Source organism: Homo sapiens, chromosome 19 (assembly GCF_000001405.40).
Source record: "Homo sapiens chromosome 19, GRCh38.p14 Primary Assembly".
In the NCBI taxonomy this organism is placed as follows: domain Eukaryota; kingdom Metazoa; phylum Chordata; class Mammalia; order Primates; family Hominidae; genus Homo; species Homo sapiens.
Genome location: NC_000019.10, coordinates 36,947,019 through 36,961,174, shown reverse-complemented (window position 1 = coordinate 36,961,174; position 14,156 = coordinate 36,947,019). Strand labels below are relative to the sequence as shown.

Genomic DNA, 14,156 nt, shown 5'->3' with positions numbered 1-14,156 from the left:
AGCAAATATTACTAGATCTAAAGAGAGAGACTGCATTACAATAATAATGAGGGACTTCAACATCCCATTCTCAGCATTAGACAGTTTTAAAAAATCAGAGTTTTAAAAAATTAGATTTAAACTGGACTTTAGACCAAACACACCTAACAGATATTCACAGAACCTTTCACCCAACAGATGCAGACTATACATTATTTTCATCAGTACATGGAACATTCTCCATAATAGGCCATCGAGTAGGCCTCAAAACAAGTCTCAACAAATTTTTAAAAGCTGAAATCTTATCAAGTATCTTAGACCACAACGGAATAAAACTAGAGATTAACACCAAGAGGAACTTTGGAAACTATACCAATAAATGGAAATTAAATATCATATTCCCAAATAACCACTAAAGATCATAATTAAAATGAAAATTGAAAGAAAAAAAAATTTTTTTTTTTTTTGAGATGGAGTTTCACTCTTGTTGCCCAGGCTGGAGTGCAATGGCATGATCTCGGCTTACTGCAACCTCTGCCTCCCAGATTCAAGTGATTCTCCTGCCTCAGCCTCCCGAGTAGCTGGGATTACAGGCAAGTGCCACCACCCCAGCTAATTTTTGTATTTTTACATGGTGAGCCACCATGCCAGGCCAAAGGAAAGTTTCTTGAAACAACCGAAAATGAAAACACAACATTCCCAAACCTGTGAAATAAGGCAAAAGTAGTGTTAAGAGGGAAGCTTATAGCAATAAATGTAGAATGCAATCAAAAAAGTTAGCTGGGCACAGTGGCTCGTACCTGTAATCCCAACACTTTGGGAGGCCGAGGCGGGTGGATCACCTGAGGTCAGGAGTTCGAGACCAGCCTGGCCAACATGGTGAAACCCGATTTCTACTAAAAATACAAACATTAGCTGGGCATGGTGGTGAGCACCTGTAATCCCAGGTACTCGGGAGGCTGAGGCTGGAGAACCACTTGAACCCGGGAGGCAGAGGTTACAGTGAGCCAAGATTACACCATTGCACTCTAGCCTGGGCAACAGAGCGAGGAGACTCTGTCTCAAAAAAAAAAAAAAAAAAAAAAGTAGAACAATTACAAATTAACACTCTAACAATGTACCTCAAAGAACTAGAAAACAAGAAAAAGCCAAACCACAAATTAGCAAAATAAAAGAAATAATAAAGATCAGAGCAGAATTAAATGAAATGGAGACTAAAACAATATGAAGGATCCACAAAATGAAAAGTTGGTTATTCAAAAAGATAACCCAAATTGATAAACCACTAGCTAGACTAACCAAGAAGAGAGAATACCCAAATAAGCAAAATTGGAAATGAAGAAGGAGACATTACAACTGATACTACAGAAATACAAGAGAGTGTCAGAGACTTACGAGCAGCTATATACTGACAAACTAGAAAACCTAGGGAAAACAGATATATTCCTGAAAACATAAAACTTACCAAGACTGAATGACGAGGAAATATAAAATCTGAACAGACCACTAAGTAGTGAGATTAAATCAGTAATAAAAAGTGTCCCAACCAAGAAAAGCCCAGGGTCACTTGGAATCACAGCCAAATTATACCATACAAAGAAAAACTAATACCAATTCTCCTGAAACTATTTCAAAAAATAAAAGAGGAGAGAATTCTCCCCAGTTCATTCTACAAGGCCAGGATCATCCTATTACCAAAACCAGAGAAGGACACAACATAAAAAGAAAACTAAAGGCTGATATCTGACAAAGGTAGATGCAAAAATCCTCAAAAAAGCACTAACAAACCAAATCCAATAGCACAGCAAAATGATAATACACCACAATCAAGTGAGATTTGCACCAGGGATGCAAAGATGGGTCAATGTATGCAAATCAGTTAACATGATACATCACATCAGAATAAAGGACAAAAACCATATAATCATCTCAATAGATGCAGAAAAAGCATCTGATAAAATTCAACATGCTTTCACAATAAAAACTTCAACAAGCTAGGCACAGAAGGTACATACCTCAGAATAATAAAGGTTATATATAACAAACCCACAGCTAACACCATAGTGAATAGGGAAAATCTGAAAGCATTTCCACTAAGAATTGGAACAATGCCGACTTTCACCACTCCTATTCAACATAGTAATGGAAATCCTAGCCAGACCAATCAGGCAAGAGAAAGAAATAAAAGGTATCCAAATTGGAAAAGAGGAAGTCAAATTGTGCCTTTTTGTTGATGATATAATCCTATATCTAGGAAAATCTAAAGACTCCACCTGGCTGGGCGTGGTGGCTCACGCCTGTAATCTCAGCACTTTGGGAGGCCGAGGAGGTTCGATCACTTGAGGTCAGGAGTTTGAGACCAGTCTGGCCAACATGGCGAAACCCTGTCTCTACTAACAATACAAAAAAATTAGCTGGGCTTGGTGGTGCACGCCTGTAATCCCAGCTACTTGGGAGGCTGAGGCAAGAGAATTGCTTGAACCCGGGAGGTGGAGGTTGCAGTGAGCCAAGATTGTGCCACAGTACTCCAGCCTGGGCGAAAGAGAGACCCTGTCTCAAAAAAAAAAAAAAAAAAAAAAGAAAGAAAAAGAAAAAAGAAAAAAAGAAAGAATATTATGAACAAGAATAAAAGCGTATAAAGCATATTATGCCCACAAATTTGATAATCTACATGAAACAGACTAATTCCTTGAAAGACACAATCTGTCAAAACTCACCAAGAATAAACAGACAATCCAAACAGGCCTGTATCTATTAAATAAATGGAATCAATAACTATTAACCTTCCAAAATAGAAAGCATCAGGCCCAGATGGGTTTACTGATTAATGCTCCCAAACATATAAGAAAGTTTATCAATTCTCTACCCTCTCTTCTAGAAAAAGGAAATATTCCCTAACTCAGTCTATGAGGCCAGCATTATCCTAATACCAAAACCAGGAGAAACATATTACAAGAAAAGAAAACTACAGAACAATATCTCTCATGAATACAGATGCAAAAATACTCAATAAAATATTAGCAAATCAAATCCAATAATATATAAAAAGAATTATACACCACAATCAAGTGGGATTTATCCCAGAAATGCAAGATTGATTCAACCTTTGAAAATCTATTAATCTCATTCATAACATCAAGAGGCTAAAGAAGAAAAATCATATAATCATGTCAATAGATGCAGAAAAATCACTTGACAAAAATCCAACACCCAATCACAATAAAAACAGTCAGCAAACTTAGGAATAAAGGGAACTTCCTCAACTCAATAAGGCAATCTTTTGGGTCTCTTACAATCCTTCAAAATCTGAATCTTAAAAATTAGCTTTATATTTAATAGTAAAGAGACTTGAAATACTTTAAATCAAACCCACTCCAATCCACTGAATTATATACCATTGTTTCCCAGTACTTTCATGGCCTTTGAAAACCCTGTAAATCAATCTTGCTCTTCTTTTCCACCTGCCAATATTTGTTTCTATTTACCCACATATTTAACATTTTCCTTATCCATCTTCTTTGTTTCTCAAGTCCTCCATCTGAGACCACTTCTAGAGAGCTTGCCCATGCTTCCCTTTAGCCTCCTGTTTATACACCTCTTTAGCCCATGACATCAAGTTTTTGAAGAAACCACACCAAATGTCACAACAGCAGTTAAAGAACAGTTTGAGCCAGGCGTGTGGGCTTATGCCTGTAATCCCAGCACTCTGGGAGGCTGAGGCGGATCACCTGAGGTCAGGAGTTCAAGACCAGCCTGGCCAACATGGCCAAACCTCATCTTTACTAAAAATACAAAAGTTAGCCAGCCATGGTGGCAGGCGCCTGTAATCCCAGCTACTTGGGAGGCTGAGGCAGGGAGAATCGCTTAACCCGGGAGGCAGAGATTGCAGTGAGCCGAGATCGCGCCACTGCACTCCAGCCTGGGCGACAGAGCAGGACTCCATTTAAAAAAAAAAAAAAAAAAAAAAAAAAAAAAAGAACAGTCTGGAAATCCCTAGGGGGCCTTGAGATTGAAACTATTTTCATATTTTTCCTTCTTTTGATCTCATTTGCTCATGAGTAAGAATGGAGTTTCCCAGTCTTACATGACATGTGACTGAATGTAGAAGCAGATATGAGAACCCAGCTGTCTACTTTTAAGTAATTTAAAGTATTTGAAAGTTGTGTAACAATGACGCTCTTATTATGTTTTTTGGTTTTGGAAATAATTCTTTTTCATAAAATAATTTCATAAAAATTTATTGCTTGTATTAACATGTAATGAGTTTATTAGTTTCAAATGAATCAAAAATATTTTTTGGTTGGGTGCTGTGGCTAACACCTGTAATTTCAGCAATTTGGGAGACCAAGGTGGGCAGATCACTTGAGGCCAGGAGTTCAAGACCAGCCTAGCCAACATAGTGAAACCCCATCTCTACCAAAAATACAAAAAATTAGCTGAGCATGGTGGTGCACACCTGTAATCCCAGCTACTCAGAAGGCTGAGGCATGAGAATCGCTTGAGCCTGGGAGGCAGAGGTTTCAGTGAGCCAAGATTGCATCACATACTCCAGCCTGGGCAGCAGAGTGACACCCTGTCTCAAAAAAAAAAAAAAGTTTTTTTTAAATTTCAATTTGAGGACTACTGTTGCAAAATGTCTACTGTTTTAAGTCAGTTTCCCAGGAAAAGAGAATCTGAGATGGAAATCTATGATAGGGTTTATTGGGGAGATCTCTTGGGAACATCAGCAGTAAGGAAATGAATAAAGCAGAACTGGATGGAAAGAGAAATTAAACTGATGCAGTTGAAATTTGTTCCCTGGGGAGCTCTAGAGCTGGGATTGCTCTTCAGAGTTGCTCTAAACTGAGGCAACGTGGGCCAAGCTGCCTGAAGGGAGACAGTGTAACCTTGCATAAGGCAGCTCCTTTCGTCCAACAGCAATTCCTTAGAGGAATTTAGCTGTGAGTTGTCAGCAGCCAAGATTCTCAGAAGTTGGCAGCACAAGTGCCTCAGTCCTGAAGGTGGAATCTTGAAAAGTCTGAGGCATAGCTTACACTCGAGTTCCCACAGGGATCAGGATGACACCATCCATGGCAGGACTGTGCCTGCGATCACACCCTTGACTTACTTCTTTTTCTTATTCTGCTTCCTCCATTCTCTTACCCCTCTTACTGAAAGCACTTCCTTAATAAATCACTTGCATAGGAATCCTCATCTCAAAGCCTGCTTCTGGGAAACAGCTGAAAAGAAAGTCCATCACACATCTTGAGTCCATCCCCAACCTTTACTCTAAAATATTTCTCCCCAGCCTGCTGCATTTTTATCAAATGGTCCACCGGCCAGCCAGTTTCTTTCCATAAAAACATAGGAGTTATCCTTTATCTCTTTACTCCTCATCTTTCATATGAACTCATTATGTTGAATCACCTCCAAAATGTATCTGAAATCTATCAATTTCTACTGCTGTGTCTAGTCCAAGCCACTATTAGTATGTTTTATTCTGTGTGTTTTGAGGCCATTCACAGGAACTGAACCTCTTATGAAGTTTGAACTCTAGAATGGAAACTCTCTAGGCAGTAACTCATGTGTGTCCAGGAAAAGAAGAATTCACCATGATTTAATTAATGATTTTTTTCAAAGTCTGTCTCAGTCACTTATATCTATCTTATTATTTCTACCCCTTAGGACAGAAGGAAAAAATGAATTTACAGAGACCAGATCATCTGCTTGCTGACACAAGATCAGTAAAACGCCCTTTTAGACCTACTCTGAGGCACTTTACCTCACCTGATAGGTTCAGCCAGTCTTACTGGGGTGAGAGAGGCCAAAAGAGAAATCTAAGGTTGTCCTTATGGGCCTTAAGTGGAATTTTACATTTCTCTGTTGACTCTAAAGCTATGTAAAGAAAGGGGCAGAGGATTTAAGGCATATAAAGTACAGGCCAAAAACAAACAAACAAACAAACAAAAAACATTAAAAAGAAAATCACAGATAAAAACAACTGTTTAGACAAAAAAAAAAAGTCTCACAAATATTTATACAGGGTTACTTGTGTGGATACACGAAATGCGAAAACCATTTTTTAAAAAAAGGTTTACAGGCTGGGCATGGTGGCTCACAGACCAGCTTGACCTACGTAGTGAAACCCTGTCTCTATGAAAATACAAAAATTAGCCGGGCATGGTGGCGGGAGCTTGTAGCCCCAGCTACTCAGGAGGCTGAGGCAGGAGAATCACTTGAACCCAGGAGGCGCAGGTTGCAGTGAACCGAGATCATGCTGCTGCATTCCAGCCTGGGCAACAGAGGGAGACCCCCTCTCCAAAAAAAGAAAAAGGTTTACAGGCTGGTACAGTGGCTCACACCTGTAATCCCAGCACTTTGGGAGGCCAAGGTGGGTGGATCACCTGAGGTCAGGATTCGAGACCAGCCTGGCCAACATGGTGAAACCCCAGCTCCATTAAAAATACAAAAAAAAAAAAAATTAGCCAGGCATGGTGGCACGCACCTGTGGTCCCAGCTGCTTGGGAGGCTAAGGCAGGAGAATCACTTGAACCCGGAGGCAGAGGTTGCAGTGAGCCAAGATCACGCCATTGCTCTGCAGCCTGGGTGACAGAGCAAGACTTTGTCTCAAAAAAAAAAAAAAAGTTTACACATAAATATTGGGTATGCTAGCAAAACTGGATTTAGTATAAAACTTATTGAAGAAGGGACTACGAAATGATAATACTCATTTAGATATTTCAGTTTGGGTAAGTTGTCATTGTTTTCACTGAAGTCAGTCCCTGCTGTTGTTAAGTCACCATCAGTCTTCAAAAATACCTAATAACAATCAAAACTGATAGTCATGGTTGTACTTCACATCTTTAGTCTGAGATTTACTTTTGTGAAATCAACTTCAAACAAATGTAGTTAATGTTCAATCATAAAAGCTAAAGATCCCTTTTCACAAACACCCCCTATTTTTATCTCCTTTGTATTGTTTTTATTTTTTTGAGGCAGAGTCTTGCTGTGTCGCCCAGGCTGAAGTGCACTGGCGTGATCTTGGCTCACTGCAACCTCCGCCCCTCTAGGTTCAAGCAATTCTCCTGCCTCAGCCTCCTGAGTAGCTAGGATTACAGGCATGCACCACCACGCCCAGCTAATTTTTGTATTTTTAGTAGAGGTGGGCTTTCACCATATTGGCCAGGCTGGTCTCGAACTCCTGACCTCAAGTAATCGGCCCGCCTAGGCCTCCCAAAGTGCTGGGATTACAGGCGTGAGCCACCACACCCAGCCTATCTCCTTTTTATTTATTTTTTATTTTTTTGAGAAAGGGTCTTACTCTGTCACGCAGACTGGAGTGCAGTGGCACAATCTTGGCTCACTGCAACCTCTGCCTCCCGCATTCAAGCAATTCTCCTGCCTCAGCCTTCTGAGTAGTTGGGATTACAGGCACCCGCCCCATGCCTGGCTAATTTTTGTATTTTTAGTAGAGACGGGGTTTCATCCTGTTGACCAGACTGGTCTTGAATTCCTGACCTCAGGTGATCCACCCGCCTCGGCCTCCCAAAGCGCTGGGTTTACAGGCTTGAGCTACTGCGTCTGGCCCTATCTCCTTTTTAAAAAGGCATTAGCAGCTTTCTGTAATGTATATCAACTAATATTGTAGAGATGGCATAATAAAAACATCACCTCTGTAAGGGTTGGTTCATGTATTATTACAGAGAATGAGACTCTTCAAGAGGAACTCTACTATTAGTGCTCAGGGTCTAAGTTCACCACCATTTCCAACCAAAACCGGATGGGCTGTGTAAGTCAAGAGTTGTAAAAAGAATAAAATGGTCTCTAGATTAAAACCAACACACTTTTACACAATTGCTTATGGCCACCTCAGGAAATAAATGATTTCTCATTTCAAAATATTGTTATAATTAACAATGATATTAATGCCTATGCTGGTTGTATGGAAAATTACAGGGCAAGAAAACAAATATTGCAAAGTCACTTTCCCAGGAAAAATCTTAATCTCTCCACAATACTCTAAATATATTGGTAATTAGTTAGCTATGAACCTAATAAATTTGCTGTCTAATAATACTGGCTCCACTGAAAGGACAGGCACCGTGAGTAGTAGACATGATGCCCGGAGCTAGTAAATAAAAACACATTTCATTTGTTATACTGGCATCTGATTTTCAAATTTTTAATAATTAAATATTTACTTGAATCTAAGATATCATCAGTTGAAAGGAGTCCAATTTCAGAAATGTTAAAATATAAAAACACAGCATCATCAAGTTGCTAAAATGTGCTAATTTCACATTATATAATAAACAAGAATATTCTAATTACTAATTTTCTAGAGAGATTTTTCATAAAATAGTTGAGCATCTGATAGGGCATATGAATCCATTATAACATTTCCTTCTATGGGCACAGGCTTCCCTTGGCCTGTTGTGAGAAAGAACAAGAAAAACACTATTACAAGTAAACATTCATATTGTCATTGTGTATAATTAGCTTTTAAGATTTATTTTATATGCTACCAGTCTTTTTAAGGTATAAAAACTACAAGCAAAGCTAAAGTCTCCTTTTAATCAACAGCCTCAAATTCAATCTCCAGAGACAATGCTATCAATAATTGGGTGTGTATCCTTCTATTCTATTTTAAATAGTTTTACATACAATTTTCAATAATAGAAACAGTTGTTCTTTATAAATGATTTCATTCCAATTTACATAAATATTATTACACAATGTTTCATTTGTATTTTGATTTTTTTCATTCAACATTGTTTTAACTATCCATGTTACACAATATGGATCTGGTTCACTGCTTTTAAGTGCTGTATACTATTCTATCATTTGAATATATCATATTTTATTCATCCATTACCCCACTGATGAATATTTAGGTTGTTTTCAATGCAGATATATGTCTATATATTTCTTTTTTTTTAAGAGATGGGGTCTTGCTATGTTTCCCAGGCTGGTCTTGAACTCCTGACCTCAAGTTATCTTCTTCTATCAGCCTCCCAAGTAGCTGGGATTACAGGCATGTGCCACTGCATCTGGCTATACATACATACATATATTATATATATATTTCTTATGCATTATTTGTGAGTTTCTATAGGATGTATATATACCTAGAAGTGGAATTACAGAGTCCTTTTGTCTTGAAAAAAAAAAAAAAAAAGCTCCTTGGCCTCAACGTCATAGACAATATCATCTATTTTCTCCCAATGGTTTCACAGTTTGGCTTTTCAAATTCCAGTATTTAAATCCTTTAGAATGTTAATTTTTTGGCCAGGTGCAGTGGCTCAAGCCTGTAAACCCCAGCACTTTGGGAGGCCAAAGAGGGCGATCACTTTTGAAGTCAGGAGTTCAAGACTACCCTGGCCAACATGGTGAAACCCCGTCTCTACTAAAAATACAAAAAACAAAACAAAACAAAACAAAAAAACCCGGAAAGCAGAGGCTGCAGTGAGCTGAGATTGCACCACCGTACTCCAGCCTGGGCGACAGAGTGAGACGCTTGTCTCAAAAAAAAAAAAAAAAAAAAAAGAATATTGATTTTTTAGTATGTCGTAATGTTGTAATTTTATTTTCTCCAATACGGAGAGTCAAATATTCCCAGCAATTTTATTGACTAGGTCATCATTTCCCTACTAATTCATGATGTCAGGTCTAACATACACTGAGTTCACATATATTCATGAATCTGCTTCTGGATATTCTATTCTTTAAAATCTGCTCATTTACCTACTAATGTACTAATATCACACATTTTTAAATGACTATAACTTTATATCATACAGTGAGGGTGTTTCCTCTATTCTTTTCAAAATTGTCGCAGCAATTCATACACTTCTATTTCACATGAATTTTATAATCATTTTTGAAAGATCCTAGAAAATTCTTAGTTGATTTTGTTTGGAACTGCATTCAGTCTATAGATTTTCAGAATTGAGGTTTTTATAATACTGGGTTTTTCCATCTATGTATATGGTATTTCTTTCCATTTATTCCAGTCTTACACCTTTTAACAAAGTATTAAAATTTTTCCATAAAGATCCTGGCTTTTTTGAGCTTATGCCAAGATATTTTAAGTAAAACATGGGTTGAATTTAAGAGGCCTTCTTTCATTTAATATACTTGGTGTCTCTCACCTGTATGACCTCTCTTATGTATAGAAAGGGATGCTCTTTGAGAGAATGCTTTCCCACATTCATTACATTCAAAGGGTTTCTCACCAGTATGACTTCTCATATGTATAATAAGTAATGAGCACTGAGAAAAGGCTTTCCCACATTTATTACATTCATAGGGTTTCTCCCCTGTGTGACTTCTCACATGAAGAGTGAGGGATGAGATTCGAGAGAAGGCTTTACCACATTCATTACATTTGAATGGTTTCTCTCCAGTATGAATTTTTTCATGCTCAAGAAGATTTTGTCTCTGACTGAAAGCTTTCCCACATTGATTACAATGATAAGGTTTCTCTCCAGTATGAATTTTCTCATGTTCAGTGAGGTTTGATTTCTGACTAAAGGCTTTTCCACATACTGTACATGCATAGGGTTTCTCACCCGTATGAATTCTCTGGTGTCGAATGAGGTTTGACATCTGAATAAAAGCTTTCCCACATTCACTGCATTCATAAGGTTTCTCTCCAGTGTGAATTTTCTGATGTGTAATGAGATTTTCTTTCCTGCTGAAGGCTTTTCCACATTCCTTACATTCATAGGGTTTCTCAGCTGTATGATTTCGCATATGTACGGTTAGGGATGAACTCTGAGAGAAGGCTTTCCCACATTCACTACATACATAGGGTTTCTCACCAGTGTGACTTCTCATATGTATAATAAATACTGAGCATTGAGAGAAAGCTTTTCCACATTTATTACATTTATAGGGTTTCTCCCCTGTGTGACTTCTCATATGTAGCGTAACAGATGACATTCGAGAAAAAGCTCTACCACATTCATTACATGCATAAGGTTTCTCCCCAGTATGAATTTTCTCGTGCTCAATAAGATTTTGCTTCTGGCTGAAGGATTTCCCACATTCCTTACATTCATAGGGTTTCTCTCCAGTGTGAATTCGCTCATGTTCAATGAGATTTGATTTCTGACTGAAGGCTTTCCAACAATCCTTACATGCATAAGGTTTCTCCCCAGTATGAATTCTGTGGTGTCTAATAAGGTTTGACATCTGAATGAAAGCTTTTCCACATTCATTACACTTATACGGTTTTTCCCCAGTATGAATTTTCTGATGTGTAATAAGATTTTCCTTCCTACTGAAGGCTTTTCCACATTCTTTACATTCGTAAGGTTTCTCTCCAGCATGAATTCGCTCATGTCTAATGAGGTCAAATTTATGACTGAAGTCTTGTCCACACTGATTACACTTAAAGGGGGTTACAACATAGGATGCACAATGGTAAAATGGTTTCCCAAACTCATTACTCTGTTTCTCTCTTACACAGCCTTTCTCATATCTAAGTAAGTCTAAATTATGTTCCAAACCCTTATCAAGTGAGTCACAGTCATAGAAGCTTTGTCTTGAAGTAACAATGTCTGAACTCAGAGGAAATATTTTCGCAACTTTTTTACATTCAATGACTTTTTCCTTTATCAGAATTTTCTTGGAGATGGATGTGACTTTCCTCACAAGTGTTTCCTGTTGCTTCTTGATCTGTTCATCAACTTCCCAAACTTCTAAAATGGAGGACCAGAAATTATTACTTGTGAATTATTCTACCACTAGACTATTAATAACATATCAGAAATAGGCTAATGTGGGGTTTAATCTTTGATGTTGGCCTAGTCAACCAATACAAAAGAAAGCTAAGAGTAAATGTTCCTAGTTCCTAAGGTTTGAGAAGTTAACTACTACATAAAACATATGGAGACAAAAACTGACATCTGTAGGTCCAAGTAGCCTTGACTGATTTTTAAAGCGTCCACGTATAGTGCAGAAATCAGCAAAATGAATAGAATAATTAAAATGAAAGGGTGAACACAAAAATGACTGATAGGGAGTCAAACGGCTAGAGAACAAAATGAACATTTGTGACTAAACACACAGGCTTGAATGCATGTATTTTTCCTCCTTCCTAAAATGCCATTAAAATGATAGTGAAGGAATAAAGGGTTAAATCCATAAGAAAAAGGAGACGTGAGTGTAAAAAAAGATGAACAAGAGATTTTAACATAATACTGCAGGATGAGAAGCATTTAGGATAAACTGAATAGCAAAGCTACAAAGTATCATGAAGATGCAAATGACAATAAGCAACAAAGAGATTTGGCCAGAAATCACTGGAAAGGCTCAAGAATTGGAGAATCTAGGCGCTCAAAAGGTAGGGATAAACAAGCACAAGGCAAGGATGTTCCCTCGCATTACTGCTTTTTAACATTGTACTAGAAGTCCTACCTAATGCAATAACAAGAAAAGGAAATAAAAGCTATTCAGATTAGGAAGGAAAAACGAAACAACAACTGTCTTTGTTCACAGGTGATGTGATCATCTATGTAGGAAATCTGAAAAAAAAAAAAAAAAAAAAAAAAATCAACAACAAAAAACCCCTGCTGCAACTACTAAGTCAAAGGCTGACAAGTTTGCAGAGCAATAGGACCTCTCACTCATTGCTGGTGGGACTGCAAAATGGTACAGCCACTTTGGAAGACAGTCTGGCAGTTTCTTACAAAATTAGCCATACTATTACCATATTATTCAGCAATCATGCTTGGTATTTACCCCAATGAGTTGAAAACATATGTCCATACAAAAATCTGCACATGGATATTTACAGCAGCTTTATTCCTAATTGCCAACACTTGGAAGATGCCCTTTACTAGGTGAACGGATAAACTGTGCTACATCTAGACAATGAAATATTCATCAATGATAAAAACAGATGTGCTATCAAGTTATGAAAAGACATGGAGGAACCTTAAATGCATGTTGCTAAGTAAAAGAAACCCATTGGAAAAGGCCACCTACTATATGATTCCAAACTGGAAAAGGCAAAATGATGACTAGTAAAGGTATCAGTGGTTGCCAGAGCTTATGGGAGAGGAAGGAATAAACAGGAGGAAGAGAGAGGAGTTTTAGGACAGTGAAAGTATTCTGTAAGATACTATAATGGATCTGAGTCATTATACATTTACCAAAACCCATAGAATGTACAACACCAGGAGTGACCCTAATGTAAATTATGGACTTTGTGTAATAATAATGTGTATAATAATAACAGTAATGAAGGTTCATTGATGGTAACAAATATACCACTGTGGTGCAAGATGTTGACAGTGGGGAAGGCTGTGTGTGCCTGGGCAGTGGGTATCCATATACTTGGTACTTTTTCATGAGCTCTGTACACCACTCAGTTTTGTTGTGAACCTAAAACCAGCCTAAAAGATGAAGTTTATTAATTTAAAAAACCAGATGCAGTGGGCTGTACCTATATTCCCAGCTACTTGGAAGGGTTGCTAAAGCCCAGGAATTTGAGACTAGTCTGGGAAACATAGCAAGACCTCATCTCAAAAAAAAGTGGAGTGGGTAGGATAAGAGTGGGACTAAAAAGAAGAGGATTAAAGTCTGAGTAGGGAGCAGTTACACACCAAGGCAAGAGTTATGGATCTGCTTAAGTAACATGTATTCCAGTCTCCCACCATGCTTTTCCATCCCGTAAAGGCTGAGGCAGTTAAAACTACATTTCCTAGACATAACTGCATGTAGAGTTCCCATGTGATTTAGATTCACCATACACTCTAACATGAATGAGATCAACAATCCCTTTCTGTTATTTAGCCTCATGAATGCTGGCATGTACCTACACATAGGAGATAAAAAGATTAAAAGGAACAACAGATGCTGGCATTTGGGGCCCCACACAAAACTTCCAGGTTCAGCCAGGGCATGGTGGCTTACACCTGTAATCCCCGCACTTTGGGAGGCCGAGGCAGGTGGATCACGAGGTCGGGAGTTCAAGACCAGCCTGACCAACATGATGAAACCCCGTCTCTACTAAAAATACAAAAATTAGCTGGGCGTGGTGGTACGTGCCTGTAATCCCAGCTAGACAGGAGGCTGAGGCAGGAGAATTGCTTGAACCTGGGAGGCAGAGGTTGCAGTGAGCCGAGATCGTGCCGCTGCACTCCAGCCTGGGCAACAGAGTGAGACTCAGTCTCAAACAAACAAACAAA

The 14,156-nt window shown here is 38.3% G+C and overlaps 1 protein-coding gene across 8 annotated transcripts in view; it reads right to left on the bottom strand.

Moving 5' to 3' along the window:
* ZNF568 (zinc finger protein 568) overlaps nucleotides 1–14,156 on the bottom strand; it is an 81,601-nt gene that overhangs the window by 36,758 nt on the left and 30,687 nt on the right. For 4 of the 8 annotated variants that reach the window (XM_047438787.1, NM_198539.4, NM_001204836.2 and 1 more), the window contains one exon: nucleotides 8,441–11,663. The exons of 3 other annotated variants lie outside the window; for them this stretch is intronic. In XM_047438787.1, the coding sequence (XP_047294743.1) occupies nucleotides 10,087–11,663 (1,577 nt within the window). In that variant the 3' untranslated portion in view covers nucleotides 8,441–10,086. Of the gene's footprint in view, nucleotides 1–8,431; nucleotides 11,664–14,156 lie in introns of those variants that run through there. One more of the 8 variants, NM_001204835.3, reaches the window with a different exon arrangement.